The 18,634-nt window shown below is 39.5% G+C and overlaps 1 protein-coding gene across 4 annotated transcripts in view, besides 2 other annotated features; it reads left to right on the top strand.

Annotated features, from left to right (window-relative positions):
* Positions 1–18,634, top strand: part of PYGO1 (pygopus family PHD finger 1) — a 50,088-nt gene that overhangs the window by 577 nt on the left and 30,877 nt on the right. For 2 of the 4 annotated variants that reach the window (NM_001330326.2, NM_001367806.1), the window contains exon 1: positions 50–560. The exons of 1 other annotated variant lie outside the window; for it this stretch is intronic. In NM_001330326.2, the coding sequence (NP_001317255.1) occupies positions 512–560 (49 nt within the window). In that variant the 5' untranslated portion in view covers positions 50–511. Of the gene's footprint in view, positions 1–49; positions 561–777; positions 935–18,634 lie in introns of those variants that run through there. One more of the 4 variants, XM_047432381.1, reaches the window with a different exon arrangement.
* Positions 29–148: a silencer, noted in NCBI's record as "silent region_6456". NCBI's record gives its function as "represses an Ori minimal core promoter by ATAC-STARR-seq in GM12878 lymphoblastoid cells {active_cell/tissue: GM12878}" and the evidence as "EXISTENCE:reporter gene assay evidence [ECO:0000049][PMID:35858748]".
* Positions 229–278: a silencer, noted in NCBI's record as "silent region_6455". NCBI's record gives its function as "represses an Ori minimal core promoter by ATAC-STARR-seq in GM12878 lymphoblastoid cells {active_cell/tissue: GM12878}" and the evidence as "EXISTENCE:reporter gene assay evidence [ECO:0000049][PMID:35858748]".

The following is an 18,634-nucleotide window of genomic DNA, read 5'->3' as shown; positions in this document are numbered from 1 at the left end:
CGCCCGCCCCAGAGCGGGTTTTACAGGCGGCTCCAGTCTGGGGGCTTTTGTGTCTGCGACTCGGGAGCGGCGAGAGAGCAGACCTCCTCCTCAGAGGGCGCTGTGAGTGTGCCGCCAGGGCCGGGCCGCGAGCCTCCTGCTTCCCCTGTCAGCGGCTCCTGAGGCGGCGGCGAAGAAGAAGGAGTGGGAGGAGGCGGCGGCGGCGGCGGCGCACTCGCCCTCAGCACATGCCGGCCCCGGGTGGGGGGCCGCCCCCAGGCCGCGCTCCCGGCCACCGCCGCTGAGCCCCGCCGGTGCCCGCACGCCGCCCCGCCGCCCCGCCGCCCCGAGGCCTCGTCCTCCTCCCAAACTTTGCAAAGTCGGCCCGCGTCCCCACCGCCCTCGGCCGTGCCTCGGCTCCGAGGCTTGCCTCGCAGCCGCAGCGGCCCCGCGAGGAGGAGGAGCCGCCGCCGCAGCATCAAAGAGACCGAATTCCCGCGGCCTGGGGGGGAGTCATGCTTTGCGGTCTGTAATGTCAGCAGAACAGGAGAAGGATCCCATTTCGCTGAAGAGAGTTCGAGGTAACCGAGAAGGGTGCCGGATTGGGGGAACCGGGGTGAGTGAGGTGCGCGGGGCCCCGTGCCCGGCCGCCGGGAGGCCATGGGGCTCTGTCCGGGCCTAAGTCCGCGCAGCCCGCGTCCCGCCGGCACCCCGGGGCCGAGGCTGCGATCCGAGCGCGCGGCCCGGGCGCCCGCTGGCCCCCGAGACATCCGCGCGGATCCCTCGCCTCCCGACTTTGTGTTCGGAGGCAGTTGGAGCCGCAAGCAGCATCCTTTCTTACCCCCTCCTCACCCACCTCTCCTCGTTCTCAAGACAGCACAATAGGCACCTCAAAGGGTGAAAAACAGACACCCCCTGGCAGAGACCTCGAACGGTGCCCACCCCCTCAAAAAAAGTAAGTTGGAGTACACAAGAGTTGATGCTGTTGAAGAAGGGCTCCTGGGCTTTCACGTCTCTCCTGGCCCCCTTCTCGCCCCCCCACCCCGGCAAAGGCAACAAATATTCAGTTTATTTTCCGTAGGTTTAAGAGGAGAAGCTACAAATTCAGAAGGCATTTTCTCTGTTGGTTTATGGATAAGATATTATCTAAAATCAGTGTTATGCATGGTTGATTTTCTTCTTTCTTGCGCACTGGTTAGGAATTTTCCTTTCGTGTTACTATCATCTAAGAAAAATCAGAGGGAACCATGTGTCAAACAAAAGATACTGCATATAAGTTCACAAAAGTCAAATGCCACCCGGAAATTGGGGGATGCCTTTTAGCTCTTAATAAGGTTAAGACTGAAAGTTCTAGAGTTGGAGTAGTACTCACTGTTCATTAAGCAAATATTTATTGAACATCTACTATGTGCTAGACACTGTTCTTGTTACTGGGATACAGCAGTGAACAAAGCAGATAGACAATCTTCATCCAGTAGGAGTTCACCCTCTTGTGGGATAAACAAATGATAAACAGTAGATACAGAATGTCAAATCGTAGGTGGTATGGTGGACAACAAAACAGGAATAGAGGAGAGGAAATATGTGTGGGGATGGGAAGTATGGATTGTATGTAAGGTGATCATGAAAGGGCTCACCTGGTAGATAATGTTTGAGCAAAGACCTAAAGGAAATGATAGAGCCAGGGCCATATGAATTCACGTGGGAAGAGCAGTCTCTGAAAAGCAACAGCAAATGCAAAGCCCCTGTGTCTGGAATATGCCCAGTGTGTGCAATCAACAGCAAAGAAGCTATTGTAACTGCAGCAAAGTGAGCAAGGAAAGAGTCCTGTGACAGGGGCTAAGGAGTAGGATCAAGAATTATTTGATTCTTGAAAAGTGAGCAAAGGTGATAGATATCATTAAGAGTACATTTTTAAATTATAGCATTTTAATAGTAAAATTACAGTCGTTCAGTAGTCTTAATGCTGCCGGCTATAGGATGATTGTGTATTAGAGGGCCTGGTGTGCCATTTAAAAGACTTTGGCTTTTACTCTGAGAAAAGGTCTGCAGAGTTTTGAGCATAAGAGTGAGTGATCTGACATTTTAAACAGGGCATCTTAAGCTGCTGTGCGGAGAATAGACTGTAGAGAAAAGGCTGAAGCAGGGGAGACTAGTAGGGAGGTGATTGCAATAGTCATCCAAACAGGGTAAACAGGGTAAAATGCTTTATAAATCAGTAAGTAGGAAGGTAAATTTCCGGCTGACTTAAGTGATGTAGAGATGAAGGACCACAGTCATTCATTTTTGTTTTTGTTCAATGTGACTAGAAATTAAACATGTATAGAACTAGCTTGTGACACACAATCCAAAAGACATCCACTCAAGAGTATTTTGGTAGAAAATGATTTTCTTAGCCATTTAAGAGAAAACATAATTTAGAGAATATTGTTTTTAAAGGCTTAATATCAGCACAACCTTTAATTTGGTGAAATATTTTAATTGTCTTTTTCTGTTTGTGGTTGTGAGTTGCCAAAGCCTTTAAGGAATAGACCTTCCTGAGATACAATTATTCCCCTGATATTTGTGCTGTATAATTTTGCCTACTATTATAAATTGTTTTGGGGTTAAAGGAAAAGAAAGAGCTATCAAGTTTATACCTTTGAACTGAATTATCAGTCCTAATCAAATTTAATTCTAAATAAAATGGATGAGTGTTTTATTGTGGGTCAAGAACACAGATATATCTTCATTTTGTTCCAACTGCTGTTAAGTTCTATGGCGTAGCTATTGGGGTTGGCTCCGGTGTCAGCTCAAGAATATTCTGAGAGTTAAGTACCAGAATAAAAGACAAAACACTTTTTAAAATAAAAAGTCAGTATTTTTATGTTATGGGGAGAATTTTCTTAATGTCATTTTGTAATAATTAGAACATTCATTAAAAAATTTTTTGGAATATTTTATGATTAGCTCTTCTGAAGCACCATTCTGCTGAACTTCATTGCCCTGGAGCTTTTTGTTATTTAATGTAATTTATATCATCAGACTGCATGCAGGATGTGGTGTTTGCAGGGCATAAACTCTGGAGCAGTGCTTTTCAAACTGTTTCCCATCTGCTGATGTGATAGAGACAGACCTTTTTAATGGTTGTGTATTTATTTTATATGTATTAAAAGAGTCACCAAATACCTTGCTTAGGATAAGGCTAAGATACATATGTGTATAAATACACACATATAGCAATTTAAATGAATTATTAACACACATATAGCAATTACATGAATTATTAAGAAAGTAATATTATAGGTAGAACTCAGATATGGCAAAACTAAAACATGAATGACTGAGGACTTTACAGTAGCATGCTCTGCAGACCAAAAGCATCATAATCACTTGTGATGCTTATTAAAATATAGATTCGTGGATCTACGGAATCAGGACTTCTGGGATCCACAGAGTTGGGACTTCTGCATCTTTAACAAGATCCCCAGGTGCTCCTTATGCATACTGAAGTTTGAGAAATGCCACTAATAGACCTAGATTATAAAGGTGTGAGTAGACCAGAAGCAGCTGGCTGTGGTCTTCCAAACTGTCCTTATATTTTAACAATAGATTTAGAATTACTCTTTAGTGACACAGTATCTTACTCCTATTTTCTACCAGTTCTTAACACTCCACCCCCAAACCTTCACCTTTTGATTATAAGACAGATCTATGAGGACAGGTACTATGTCTTGATTATCTTATTTGCCTTGCCCATAGTAAATGTCAAATGAATGAATGAGTGAATACATGAATTATGCTGCTTTCTGATAGTCCATTTCCCCTCATACTACTTTTACTTGCCCTTTTCCCTTAGAATGTCAACTGCCATCGTTATTTTAACCAATACTCCCATTCTCCAGTATTCCTAGAACTCTTTTAGGCATTGATCTGATGGCAATATTCATTCATTTATTCAACAAATATTTATAGAGCAATCACAGTGCCATATAGTGGGAATGCACTAATTAAGATATGACACCTGGCTGGGCGCAGTGGCTCACGCTTGTAATCCCAGCACCTTGGAAGGCTGAGGCAGGTGGATTACTTGACTCCAGGAGTTTAAGAACAGCCTGGACGACAACCTGTCTCTACTAAAAGTACGAAAAATTAGCTGGGCGTGGTGGCATGTGCCTGTGGTCTTAGCTACGTGGGAGGCTGAGGTGGGAGAATCACCTGAGCCCAGGGAGGTTGAGGCTGCAGTGAGCTGAGATCGCACCATTCCACTCCCGCCTGGGCAATTGGAGTGAGACCCTATCTGCCCCCACCAAAAAAAAAAAAAAAAAAAGGTATGACACCTGTCTTCAAGAAATTGTTAAGTCTAGTACAGGACAGTGACAAATAAATAGCTACAAATAGCATGATAAGGGCTGTGATTATTTATAGGAAATAAAGGAACACATCTTTTGGGGAATCAAGGAAGGAGAAGAATTCTAAGAAGTAGTGAGTGTTCTTTTGTCTTAAGTGATGTACAGAAAGCATCAGAGGAGATAAAAATGTGAGAAAGGGTCTAGGAGGTCTCTTGTGATTTTGAGAAGGCAGTTTTTAGGAGGAAACCACATTTCAAAGTGTTGAACATTAACGTGGGACCAGGTGTGGTGGCTTATGCCTGTAATCCCAGCACTTTGGGAGGCTCAGGCAAGAGCATCACTTCAGCGCAGGAGTTTGACACCAGCCTGGGCAACATATGGAGAACCCATCTCTACAAAGTTTAAAAATTAGTGGTGGTGTGCACCCGTAGTCCCAGCTACTCAGGAGGCTGAGGTAGGAGGATCCCTTGAGCCCAGGAGGTCGAGGCTGCAATGGGCCATGTTCACACCAAGACACTCCAGCCTAGGTGACAGAGCAAGACCCTGTCTCAAAACAAAAGAAAACAAAAACAAACAAAAAAATGTGGTAAAAGATTAAATGATGAAGATGTGGCTTAAAACTTAAAAGAAGCTTGATGGTAGACAGAAAGACATAGCAAATATCTTAAAAAGATAGTCAAGAGAAAATATGAGTCTTTTTTTTTTTTCATTGGAAAAAGACTTAAACGTATTTGTAGATTTACAGAAGAACCCATTGTAGAAGGACAGGGGAAAAACTGGAAAGGCACCAGAAAGAGGATAATTCATTAATTAATACAGCATTCAATACATGTTTAAAAAATATAGACCATGTGCTATACAATCATTCCAGTAGCTGGAGATGAGACAGACAAGGTTTCTATTGTCATAAATCAGGTCTTTGCAGCTAAGGGAACAAGGTTAGCATCAGGTATACACATGGAAGTTTAGTCTTGGAGAAAAAGAGAATGGAGAAAGAAAGAAATTTAGAGATGAAGAAGGAAGTCAAGGGCATTTATTTCAGTGCTTTTAACCAGAGTTAGAAATAACATAGAAGGGATAAGGATGTATTTTAGAATGGAGTAGTACAGAAATGTCATAAAAGTTACTAAAAATGGACTTTACAAGAAAATATAGACTGTCTCGATGGGATGAATATAGAGGATTTGGATTAAGATTGGAGAAGGAGCATAATTTATGCAGTCACAAATTGGGGGTTGGGGAAGAGCCTGTGAGAGAAAGTCTGAAGGAAAGGATTTTTTGTTTTTGTTTTTAAAATTGGTCCATGTAAGAGCTAGGCAGATTATCAGGAAAGTGAGTTTGGTTTTAGACACATTGAATGAGTATCCTCCTGGGATATTCCAGTGTATACAGTGGATGTATATGGTTTGGAACTGGGTTGAGTTCACCCAGAAGTAGAGCTCTGGAAGTCATCAGTAAACAGATAAATACTAATTAATGCCTTGGGAGTGTATGAGCTCATGCAAGAGAGAGTGAGAAGTAAAAAGAGAAAAGCATTGAAAACACCAACTTTGGAAACACTAACATTTGGGAGACAAGGGGGGAAAAAGACGCTGAAAAGCAGAATGTGAAGGAGTAGTCAGAGAGGTAGGAGAAAAACCGTGAGAGAGTGGTGTTACAGCTAATGAAGGAAGAATGGACTAATGAGGGGTAGATAAATGAATTTTGTTTTTAATGTGTGGAATAAAATGTTTCTATCCATGAGATGTCCATGATTCTTTTTCTACCATATTCCCTCTCTTGGGGAACATGGCCATCTTTATCCATCCCCTACTCCCACGCAACACTGTCCCAAAGTCCTAGAATTTCTGTCTCCTTAATTTTTTTTTTTTTTTTTTTGAGATGGAGCCTTGCTCTGTCTCCCAGGCTGGAGTGCAGTGGCATGATCTTGGTTCACTGCAACCTCTGCCTCCCAGGTTCAAGCGATTCTCCTGCCTCAGCCTCCAGAGTAGCTGGGATTATAGGCACGTGCCACCACGCCCGGCTAATTTTTGTATGTTTAGTAGAGGGCTGATTTCATCATGTTGGCCAGGCTGGTCTCAAACTCCTGACCTCAGGTGATCCGCCCACCTCAGCCTCCCAAAGTGCTGGGATTGTAGGCATGAGCCACTGCGCCCGGCCTCTCCTTAATGTTTTGAACCCATTGACTTCTTGACCTTTCCATAGCTGCTGCTTTATTTTAGGTTTTGCTTATCCCTTTGATTATTTCAGTAACCCTCTATTGGTTTCATGGCCTCCCCCTTAGTCCCTCTTAATCCATTTCCACATTGCTACTGATAGTGATGAATAGCTTACCAAGTACTTTGCTGAGTGTTTTAAATGGATCTTCCTGCTTAATCCTCTCAGTAAATATGTGAATTAGATATTATTGTTGGTTTACAGTCGAGGAATTGATGTTCAGAGAGGTTAAGTAGTATGTGCTTAAGTAACATATATAAGTTTACCCAGTGAGGAAGCAGCAAAGCCGGAACTCAAAATCTAGGGCCCAAGATCTTAGCTACTATGCTGCATTGCCATAGTGGTCCCCAAACACAACTGAGTCACGTTTCTCTCTTTTGTAAAATTATTCAGTGGTTTCCTATTACCTTTAGAGTAAAAATCAAACTTTCTTATGTTGGCTCTTTTTTATTTGGCCCAGGTCTACCACTTAGTCCTCTATTCTTCACACTCCATGAAGTGCTTTCCCTATTTCTTATGCTCCAGTTCTGCAGTATTCACACTTCCTCTCTAAATGTTGTCCTGGTCTCTCCTGCCTTTAAAACTTCCTTTGCATATTCTATCCCTTCTGCTAAACATGCCCTCTTTTTCTCCCACCTTTGGGTGATACTCATCCTCAAAGTTTCAGTTCAGTTGAAATCTCCCAGGATGTTTTCCTGAGCTCCCCACTCAGCCAAGATTAGGTGGGAGTTCCTTATGTTCTCTCAGTATCCTGTGCTTATCTCTATCATAGTGTTTATCACATTAAACTTAAGAGTTTCAAAAGAAAAATATTGTTTCCTATAGGTTATAAGATCCTTACAGGGAGGAATTATTACTTTTATTTATTTTATACTTCCACAAGCTCAACAAATGTTTCTGAAATCCAATTTGATGAACATTAATGAAGAGGTTTCAGTAACTTCAAGTCATTAGTCTTCCTGGTTTGCTTTTCCCAGGTGTGTAGAGAAGTTACCTCCTGGGAAGATGATACAGTTCTGTCTTCTGACATTCTTGTTTTAGGCAACCCGATAGGTCTAAGTCATCTTTAACATCAAAATTAGCCTTAAAGTATGGTCAAGAATGATTTCAGATCTGCTTTTTTATCCCTAATCTCTGTAGATGTGCTAACTGCAATAATGAGAAACAGTACAGCATTGTAACTGTGAGCCTGACTGCCAAGGTTTTTATCCCAGCTCTGCCATTTATTAGCTGTATGGTCCTTGGCAAGTTACTTAACATCTCTGCATCAGTTTCCTCAGCTGCAAAGTGAGAATAATAATGGTACTTATCTCATGGAGTTGTTGGAAGGATTAAATTGGTTAATATGTATGAACCACTTAGAACATTGTCTTCTGCCTTCTAAGTTATCTGTTTGCTATTAACATCAGAAACAGGTCTAAAATACACATTCTGTGTAAGTAATGTGATCAACATTCTCTTTTAGGTATATTTAATCAATCAATAAATGTACATAACCTACAGCAGATTCTTATTTTGTTTAGGAGTGGGTGTGAAGAGAACAGAAATGGTTTTCTTCTTACAGAAAGAAAACAATGAACAAAAAAAAATTTTTTAAGCAGAAAACTCTGAGGTTTCACCGTTTTGTTGGAAAAGACAAATAGAAGCTGTTTATTGAATAATATTTATGAATATCTGCAACTTTGTTCCCCATGATTTCTGAGTTTTTTTGGCTAAAAGTTTGCCTGACTTCGTTCATGAAAGAAGTTCATTATCAGAGGTATTATTGTATAGTTATCTTCACATGTGAATACCATCCACCTACTCTCCTAAGCTTTACCTTTCTAAGCAACCTTAAACCCCATGGACCTCAGTAACACAAAGAGGTAAGTGGGAGACCAGTGGGAATGTGAAGATTTGTTTTACAGAGGGAAATGTTAGATTCTTAAATATAAAATTAATACCATAAAACTCAATGTTCAAAAAAGAATTTTAGGTGGTTTTGCTCACAGATTGCTTGAAAATGAAAAAGTTATTTCAATGATTTCAAGCGTCAGAATTTTGCTGTATAGTAAGTATAAGCAATTATTTGATTCTTGAAAAGTAAGCAAGATGATAGATACCATTAAGAGTATATTTTGTCCATTTATAAATTACAGCATTTTAATTGTAATATTATGTCTGTTCAGTAGTCTTAAGAATGCTGTGGGCTGGATGTGGTGGTTTATGCCTGTAATCTCAGCACTTTGAGAGGCTGAAGTAGTAAGATTGCTTGAACCCAGGAATTCAAGGTTGCAGTGAGTTGTGATGGTGCCACTGCACTCCAGCCTGGGTGACAGAGCAAGACCCAGTCGCTTATAAAATAAAAAAGAATTTTATGAGTAATAATTTAGATGTCCTAGATTAGAGATTGGAGATTAATTTATTAATAATTGTTTTATTTTTAAGAATTACCTTTTTCTATTTATACTTTTGTTAAAATGAAATACTCATGACATGTTAGGGAAGATAGGACTTTGAGGTTTGGCGCCTTCGTTTGTTTATATAACCACTTTATTATTTGACTTCTAAGACCATTGCTAATTCTTTTTCCATATCAGACTCATCACCATCTCAAGGTATTCAGATTCAAGGATATCACATTTCTCTGTTCAATATGTGGGTATATGGTGTTATAGAAAAACTGCATGCAAATTATTAATCTGCAATCATCATTTTATACGGACTACTGAATAATTATAAATTGGTAATAGGTTTATTTAAACCATCAAATTTGAAAAAAAATGACCTTGAGGAGAGCACTGGCTCTTACTGTCAATTCTTTATTTACCATCTTCCCAAGTGGGATTATAACATCAAATTAAAATTAAAATATAGAAGTTCTTTTAATTTGAACCAGAAGTTTCTAATTTTGCCTTCTGTGAGTCACTGAGGAAGACTTAGTGTATGGATCAGATTTTAGGGAGGCAACTAGTATCTTAGAGGTAGATAAGCTTAGTTTTACTCAATTAACCAAAGAAGAAATAGATAAATTGGACTTCATCAAAATTTTAAAATTGTGAGTGTCAAGGGATACTGTCAGTAAAAATAGACAACCCGCACGATGGAAGAAAATGTTTGCAAATCTTGTAGCTAAGAGTTTAGTACCCAGAATATATAAAGAATTTTTGTAATTCACAACAAAATACAACCTAAGAAATGAATGGCCAAAGGATTGAATAGACATTTCTCCAAAGAAAAGATATATATGGTCCATAAGTACATAAAAAGATGCTTGGCATCATTAGTCATTATGGAAATGCAAATCAAAACCACAGTGAGATATCACTTTATATTCATTCACTAGGAGGCTATATTAAAACAAAAACAGAAAAATGTTGGTGAGGATGTGGATTGTAACCCTCATACCTTGCAGATGAAAATATAAAATGATGTAGCCACTGTGGAAAACAGTTTGGCAGTTTCTCAGAGTTAAACATAAAATTGCTATGTGACCCAGTGATTCCACCTCTAGATAGATACTCAAGAGGATTGAAAACATGCTTATACAAAAACTTGTACAAAAAAAAAACTTGTACAAGAATATTTATAGAAGTATTATTCATAATAGCCCCAAAAGTGGAAATAACCGAAATGTCCATCAGCTAGTGAATGAATAAACAAAATGTGGTATATTTATATATTGGAATGTTAATCAGCCATAAAATGGAGTGAAATACTGATACATACTACAACATGGATGAACCTTGAAAATGTTATGCTAAACGAAAGAAGCTATGTACAAAAAGCTACATATTGTATGATTCCATTTATGTGAAATGTCTGGAATAGGCATATTATAAATAGAAGGTAGATTAAGGTTGAAGCAGGTAGATCACTTGAGGTCAGGTGTTCGAGACCAGCCTGGCCAACATGGTGAAACCAGGTCTCTACTACAAATAAAAAAATTCACCAAGCATGGTGGCAGCCACCTGTAATCCCAGCTGCTCGGGAGGCTGAGGCAGGGAAATTGCTTGAACCTCAACCTGGGAGGCAGAGGAGGTTGCAGTGAGCCAAGATTGTGCCACTGCACTCCTGCCTGGGTGATAGAGCGAGACTCTGTCTCAAAAAAAAAAAAAAAAAAGTAGATTAGTAATTGTCAGGGGGTGGGGGAATGAGGAGTGACTGTTGATGGGATAGGGTTTCTTTTGGGGATGATGATAATGTTCAGGAATTAGATGGTAATGATGGTTATATAACCAGGTGAATAAAAATCACCGACTATACACTTAAAACAAAAACCTAGTTTTAAAAACAAAAACCTAGTTTTAGATTTCATTGCTTCTTTTGACCAATGGTGTGACTGCTTTACATTTATTTTTCTTAACTTTTTAAAAATTGGGAATGACTTGCTTTGTGAACTCAAAAGTATCTGAGACAGATTTCAATCAATTTAGAAAGTTTATTTTGCCAAGGTTAAGCATGTACCCATGACATAGCCTCAGGGGTTCCTGAGCCCAAGGTGGTGGGGATACAGCTTGCTTTTATACATTTTAGGTAGACGTGAGACATCAACTAATATTGATACATTGGCTAGCGGCGGGGTGAGGGGTAGGCAGGCGTCCAGGTCATAGGCAGATAAGAGACAAAAGTTTGCATTCTTTTGAATCCTTGATCAGCCTTTCACTGAATACATAATTTAGTCTGGCTCAGTGAATCTCCATTTTTACATAAACAACAGGGCAGAGAAACCGATCAGATATGCATTTGTCTCAGATGAGCAGAGATGACTTTCTGTCCCACATCTTTGAAGATAAGCTATCAGTTTACATTGGCAGGGTGAAATTCAACAGAACTCTTCCTTGTGAGCAAATCGTGAGGGAGGTATGTAGTTTTTTTTTTTATCTTTGTTGCTATCTTATTTAGGAATAGAATGGGAGGCAGGTTTGCCTAGCTACGTAGTTCTCAGCTTGACCTTTCCCTTGGCTTAGTGATTTTGGGGTTCTAAGGTTTATTTTACTTTCACACCTACCTCATAGGTTTATGAAGATGAAGGAAAAGAACATGGATGTTGTATCCAACAGACTTCTAAGTTAAGATGATGGAACAAGACTGCTTTACAGAATCTTTTCCCCCACTTCTTTTTTTTGATCTGTCGCCCAGGCTGGAGTGCAGTGGCACAATCTCGGCGGCTCACTGCAACCTCCACCTCCCGGGTTCAAGCGATTCTTCTGTCTCAGCCTCCCGAGTAGCTGGGATTACAGGCACCCACCACCACGCCCGGCTAATTTTTGTACTTTTAGTAGAGACAGGGTTTCACCATGTTGGCCAGGCTGGTCTGAAACTCCTGACCTCAGGTGATCTGCCTGCCTTGGCCTCCCAAAGTGCTGGGATTACAGGCATGAGCCACCATGCCCGGCCTCTCTCTTTTTTTTTTTTTTTTTTTTTTTTTTTGAGACGGAGTCTCGCTCTGTCGCCCAGGCTGGAGTGCAGTGGCGGGATCTCGGCTCACTGCAAGCTCCGCCTCCCGGGTTCACGCCATTCTCCTGCCTCAGCCTCCCAAGTAGCTGGGACTACAGGCGCCCGCCACTACGCCCGGCTAATTTTTTGTATTTTTAGTAGAGACGGGGTTTCACCGTTTTAGCCGGGATGGTCTCGATCTCCTGACCTCGTGATCCGCCCGCCTCGGCCTCCCAAAGTGCTGGGATTACAGACGTGAGCCACCGCGCCCGGCCTCTCTTTTTTAAATTAACAAGCTTTAACAGCTTTATTGATGTTAATAGTAATGATAGTTTCTGGCTGATGGGACTTGAAATGTAAATCAACTAGGATTTGGTCAGGAAACAGAAACCACACCAGTTATTTTTAACAAATAATATAAAGTATTGCTAACAGAGATTTAAGTAGCAAAAATAAGATGCTAAAGTTTTCACAGAGATAGCAACTGTGAGAACTAGCTGCCATTCCTAAGGCTGTGGAACAAAGGATTGTGGCTGAAATTATTAAATTGTACAAACTCAGAGGAGGGGCCCTGTGGAGTATAAACTCAGATCTCTGAGAAAGGAATACTGTTTAAGCTGGTATTAATACCTCTGGGCTTGGAAGAGCAGCCCTGTAGGCCTGGGACCCAGACACCTGGTGCAGGTGTCTCTGAGGAGTGCAGAAGTCTGTTTCTGCAAGTGTTGGAAATACTACAAACTAGATTTACCGCAACTGCTATGACTGAAACAAACTGCCAATGCAGGATAGTAGACATCAGGCCAGGGTTGCCATGGAGAAGAACAGAAGCATCATATTCATTTTTGTCCTCCAGCCTTCCAGTCTCCCTCTAGCACACCTTGTTGGCATAGCCTAATAGAGATCAAGCAGAGAGTATAGAATGATGTGAACAGGGTGATTGATTTTTTTCTTTGTATTTGTATGCATTGCTTATACTTCTTTATAATGAGCATGTCTATTTCCTACAAAAACACAGTGATTTTTTTAAAAGTACTGACTACAGTATTTGTCATAAAGCTTAAAAAGCAAAGTAGTGTAGCCTAGGGGAGAGAATTGTACATTGCTACTCAGTGTGTGGTTGATGGACCACCAGTATCTGTATTACCTGAGGGGGATTGTTAGAAATCCAAGTTCATGGGCTTTATCCCAGAACTACTCAATCAGAATCTTTGGGAGTAGGACTCAGGAATCTACATTTTAACACACTTTTGTGGTAATCTTTATGCATACTGAAGTTTGAGAACCACTGATACATAGTTTAAAACTTCATATATAGGCTTTCGAGTCAGAAAGACACAACTCTGTGACCTTGGGCAAGTTAGTTAAATCTGAGCCTCTGTTTTCTCATCTATAAAATGGGTATAGCCATAGAATTCTTTGAGGATCAGATGAAATAATGTATATAAAGTGCTTATCCCAGTATCTGACACAGTAAACATTCACTGAATTAATGTTATTAAATGGTAATCCTCTTCCCTTCAGTTTTGTAACAATCTGGTATTGTGGAAATTTTCTTAGTTTTTGTCTTTTAATTGTTAATTAACTGTTGAAATATACTATAGCAAATGAAGGAACGAACAAAAACAAAGATACTTGGACTCAATTTAATTCAACAAACATTTATTGCCTGTGGATAAGGCCATATATTGTAGGTAGATAAAAAATAAATGACATTAGCTGTCCTTATAAAGATATCTTTATATATCATATATCTTTGAAGATATGTTTACGTATCATACACACACACACACACACACACACATATACAGTATACCTTTGAACAACATGGGTTTGAACCTGAAATTTTTTGAAGAATTGCAACAAATTGAAAAAACTCAACAGATGAACCCTATAGCCTAGAAATACCAACAAATTAAGAAAAAGTTAAGTCTGTCATGACTGCATAAAATATATGTAGACACTAGTCTACTTTATTATTTACTACCGTAAAACTTACACAAATCTATTACAAAAAGTTAAAATTTATCAAAACTTACACAAGCATTTGCAGACCCTACGTGGCACCATTTGCAGTAGAGAGGAAGGTAAACAATGATGCAGTATTAAATCATAACTGCATAAAATTAACTGTGCTTACTGTACTACTGTAATTTCATAGCCACCTCCTATTGCTATTGTGGTGAGGTCAAATGTTGCAAGTATCTGCTTAAAATACCACATGGTGCTAATCATCTCTATGAAAGCAGTTCATTTCTCCAATAAATTGCACATCACAGTAAAAAATAGTATCTTTTGGTTCTCACATATTTTTCATCATCTTTAGTGCTGTACCATAAACCTTAAATAACACCATGGGACCCATATAAAGTGCCACTAGTGATGCTGGAAGTGCTCCCAAGAAACAGAAAAGCCATGACGTTACCAGAAAAAGCTGAATTGCTTGATATATACCGTAGATTGAGGTCTTCAACCTTGGTTGCCCGCCATTTCAGACAGATGATTCATCTTGTAAATAGACAATGAAAACATATAGTATGATAAATATAGTACTATAAATGTATTTTCTCTTTCTTATGATTTCTCAATTATATCTTTTCTCTAGCCTACTTTATTGTAAGAACACAGTATGTAATACAACATATAACATATATTTGTTAATCAGTTCTTCATGTTATCTGTTAAGGCTTCCAGTCAACAGTAGCCTATTTTAGTAGTTAAGTTTTAGGGTAATCAAAAGTTATACATGGACTTTTGACTGCACAGAGTATCAGAGCTTCTAACATCCGCATTGTTCAAGAATCAACTATATCACAATGTATATAGTTCAAGGATCAACTATATGCACCCATTGTTGACAGATGCTTATGTTGTTTCCATGTCTTGGCTCTTGTGAATAATGTAACAAACATGGGAGTGCACATAACTCTCTGAGATACTGATTTCATTTCCTTTGGGTGTATATCCAGAAGTTGGATTACTGGATCATAAAGTAGTTCTATTTTTAATTTCTTGAGGAACTTCCAGGCTTCTCTTTAATGGCTGTACCAACTTACATTCCCACCAGCAGTGGATGAGGCTTCCCTTTCCTCCACATCCTCACCAACACTTGCTATCTCTTGTCTCTCTTTTTTTTTTTCCTTTTTTGAGATGGAGTCTTGCTCTGTTGCCCAGGCTAGAGTGCAGTGGCACAGTCTTGGCTCACTGCAACCTCTGCCTCCCAGGCTTAAGCGATTCTCCTGCCCCAGCCTCCTAAGTAGCTGGGATTGCAGGTGCCTGCTACCACGCCCGGCTAATTTTTTGTATTTTTAGTAGAGACAGGGTTTCACCATGTTGGCCAGGCTGGTCTCGAACTCCTGACCTCGTGATCCGCCCACCTCAGCCTCCCAAAGTGCTGGGATTACAGACATGAGCCACTGTGCCCAGCTTTTTTTTTTTTTTTTTAAAGACAGAGTCTCACTGTGTTGACCTTGGCTGATCTTGAACTCCTGACCTCAAGTGATCCTCCTACCTTGGCCTCCCAATGTGCTGGGATTACAGACATTAGCTACCACACCTGGCTTTATTTATTTATTTTTTTTGTCTTTTTGATAATACATCCTAAGAAATGTAAGGTTATTTCTCATTGTGGTTTTGATTTGATTTCCCTGTTGACTAGTGATGTTGAGCACCTTTTCAGGTACCTGTTGGCCATTTTTATGTATTCTTTGGAAAAATGTGTACCTAGGTCCTTTCTCCATTGATTAAGCATTGTTTTTGCTTTTGGATGAGCACCTATATATTTTGGGTATTAACTCCTTAAGAGATATATGATTTGCAAATATTTTCTCCCATTTTTGTAGGCTGCCTTTTCATTTTGTTTCCTTTTCTGTGCAGAAGACTTTTAGTTTGAGGTATTCCCACTTGCTTATTTCTGCTTTTGTTGCTTGTGCTTTTGGTCATATCCCAAAAATCATTGGCAAGACCAATGTCAAGGAAGTTTTTTCCTCTCTTTTCTTCCAGGAGTTTTACAATTTCAGGTCTTACATTTAAATCTTTAGTCCATTTCCAGTTAATCTTTGTGAGTAGTTATAAGATAGGTGTCCAGTTTCATTCATCTGCATGTGGTTATTCAGTTTTTCCAGCACCATTTGTTGGAGGGACTAGACTATCCTTTCTCCATTTTGTACTCTTGGTACCTTTGCCAAATATTAATCATGTATTTGTTGGTTTATTTCTGGGCTCTTGATTGTGTTCCATGGTGAATGTGTGTGTTTTTATGCCCGTATTACTGTAGCTTTGTCATATAGTATGAAATCAGGAAGTGATTTTTTGTTCACTTGTTTGTCAAGATTGCTTAGGCTATTCAGAATCTTTAGTGGTTCCATATGAATTTTAGGATTTTTTTTCTTTTTCTGTGGAAGATGCCCTTGGAATTTTGATGGAGATTATATTGAATCTGTAGATAAAAACTCCCTAAAAACCCTATTGAGGGACACAGAGGAAGACTTCTAATAAATGGAATAGTATTCCCTGTTGTGGCTAGCCATCTGGAACAAAATAACATTGTTTTTTACCTCACATTATCCCAAAATAAATTCCAAATGGAGTAAAGATATGACATAAAAATATGGCCATATTACGAAAAAATAGCTTGATGGTTCCTCAAAAAATTGAAAATAGGATGTATTAGTCTAGTCACAGAAAGACGAATACTGGATGATTTTCACGCTGCTGATAAAGACATACCCAAGACTGGATGATTTATAGATAAAAAGAGGTTTAATGGACTTACAGTTCCATGTGGCTGGAGAGGCCCCACAATCACGGTGGAAAGCAAGGTGGAGCAAGTCACATCTCACGTGGATGGTGGCAGGCAAAGAGAGAGCGTGTGCAGGGAAACCCCTGTTTGTAAAACCGTCAGATCTCGTGAGACTTATTCACTATCATAAAACCAGCATAGGAAAGACCTGCCCCCATGATTCAGTTACCTCCTACCAGATCCCTCCCACAACACATGGGAATTCAAGATGAGATTTGGGTAGGGACACAGCCATACCATATCATAGGATAAACTCTCCAACAATTTCACTTCTGTGTATATATCCGAAATAGTTGAGAATAGAGTCTCAAAGAGGTATTATAACATGTATGTTCTTAGCAGCATTAGTCACAGTAGCTAAAAGGTAGAAACAACCGAGGTATGCATCTACAGATAAATGGATAAACAGAATGTAGTATGTGTATACTATACATGGAATATTATTCAGCCACAAAAAGGAAGGAAATTCTGACACATGCTATAGAACCTTGAGGACATTATGCTTAATGAAATAAGTCAGTCACAGAAAGACAAGTACTGGATGATTCTACTTGTGTAAAATATCTAGAGTAGTCAAATTCATAAAAGCTAAAAGTAGATGAGGATCATAGGGGATGGAGAAGGGGAAAATGGGGAGTTGTTGCTTGATGGATATAGTTTCAGTTTTACAAGATGAAAACATTCTGGAGGTTGGTTATGCAGTAATGTGAATATACTTAATACCACTGAACTGTATACTTTAAGATGGTAAATTATATATGTGTTTTACTACAATTAAAAGTTAAAATTAAAAAATTAAGCCATAAAAATATTAGGAAAAAAACCTGAGAGAATTATGTTTTATTCTCTAAAAATGGGGATTGCTCTTTTAAGCATAAGACAAAGCCCAGAATTAAAAAATAAAATATTGATGCATTTTATTACATAAAATTATTTTTTAAAATTCTGGATAGCATTATAGAGGAAACTGGGTACAGGGTATGTGCAAATTCTCTTTACTATCTTCACATTTTTATAAATGTAAAAATCTAAAATTTAAAATGTATTTAAAATTTTATAACAAGAAATCAAAACATAATAACCTGATGAAAGTATTTACAGTTTAAATATGTTCAGTTTTTTTTTTTAGTATATGAAAAGCTTCCATAAATCACTAAGAAAAGGATGAAACACTCAGTAGAAAAATGGCAAGGAATATTAGCTCCCAAGTGATTCCAACATGCAGCCAAGATTGAAAATGACTAGTTTAGATATTTTTGATAAATCAGAGTAAAATTTGAAAAAATTTTTCTTAAAAACAAAAGCAGGCTTCTTTTTCCCCAAGATGGCAGATTAGAGGCTTTTGGCATGCCTCAGCCACCTGGAAATAGCAAGATAGTACATAAAGATCAACTCTGTGAGCTTTAATTCAAAAAGGAAAATGAGTATCCAATGGAATTGTGAAGGACACCCTCAATCCCAGAGAGGAGAACACTGGCAAACAGCCCCCATGATGGCATCCAGTTGATAAAAGTGAGTGAGGCCTAAGTATGTGAAAGAGGTAGAGAGCCCCTCTCTCTGACTGACCTTTCCACTGGGGATCTGAGCAACTCAGGTAGAGGGAAAGCCCTTTGTTTCTCCCAAGCCCTGGAGCTAACATGGGGAAAATCTTGGAGACACTGTGAGGGAAAGACACTGGGAAAAGCTGCAGGTATTTTCCAAGACCCTGAGAGCAGGATGCCATTTTAAATCTGGTTGTGTACAAAATCAGGAATTCCTTGGTGACCTGGCAGTGCAGCTATATAGGCATTTTAGTCTCAGGCTAGAGATTGGAGTGCCTGCTGTGGAGTGGTAGATATGTCTATAGGACCCCAATGGCAGGCACAGCCACCATCCATCAACCACAGAATAT

Source organism: Homo sapiens, chromosome 15, assembly GCF_000001405.40.
Source record: "Homo sapiens chromosome 15, GRCh38.p14 Primary Assembly".
NCBI classification, from domain to species: Eukaryota; Metazoa; Chordata; class Mammalia; order Primates; family Hominidae; genus Homo; species Homo sapiens.
This window is presented reverse-complemented; position numbering and strand designations above follow the sequence as displayed.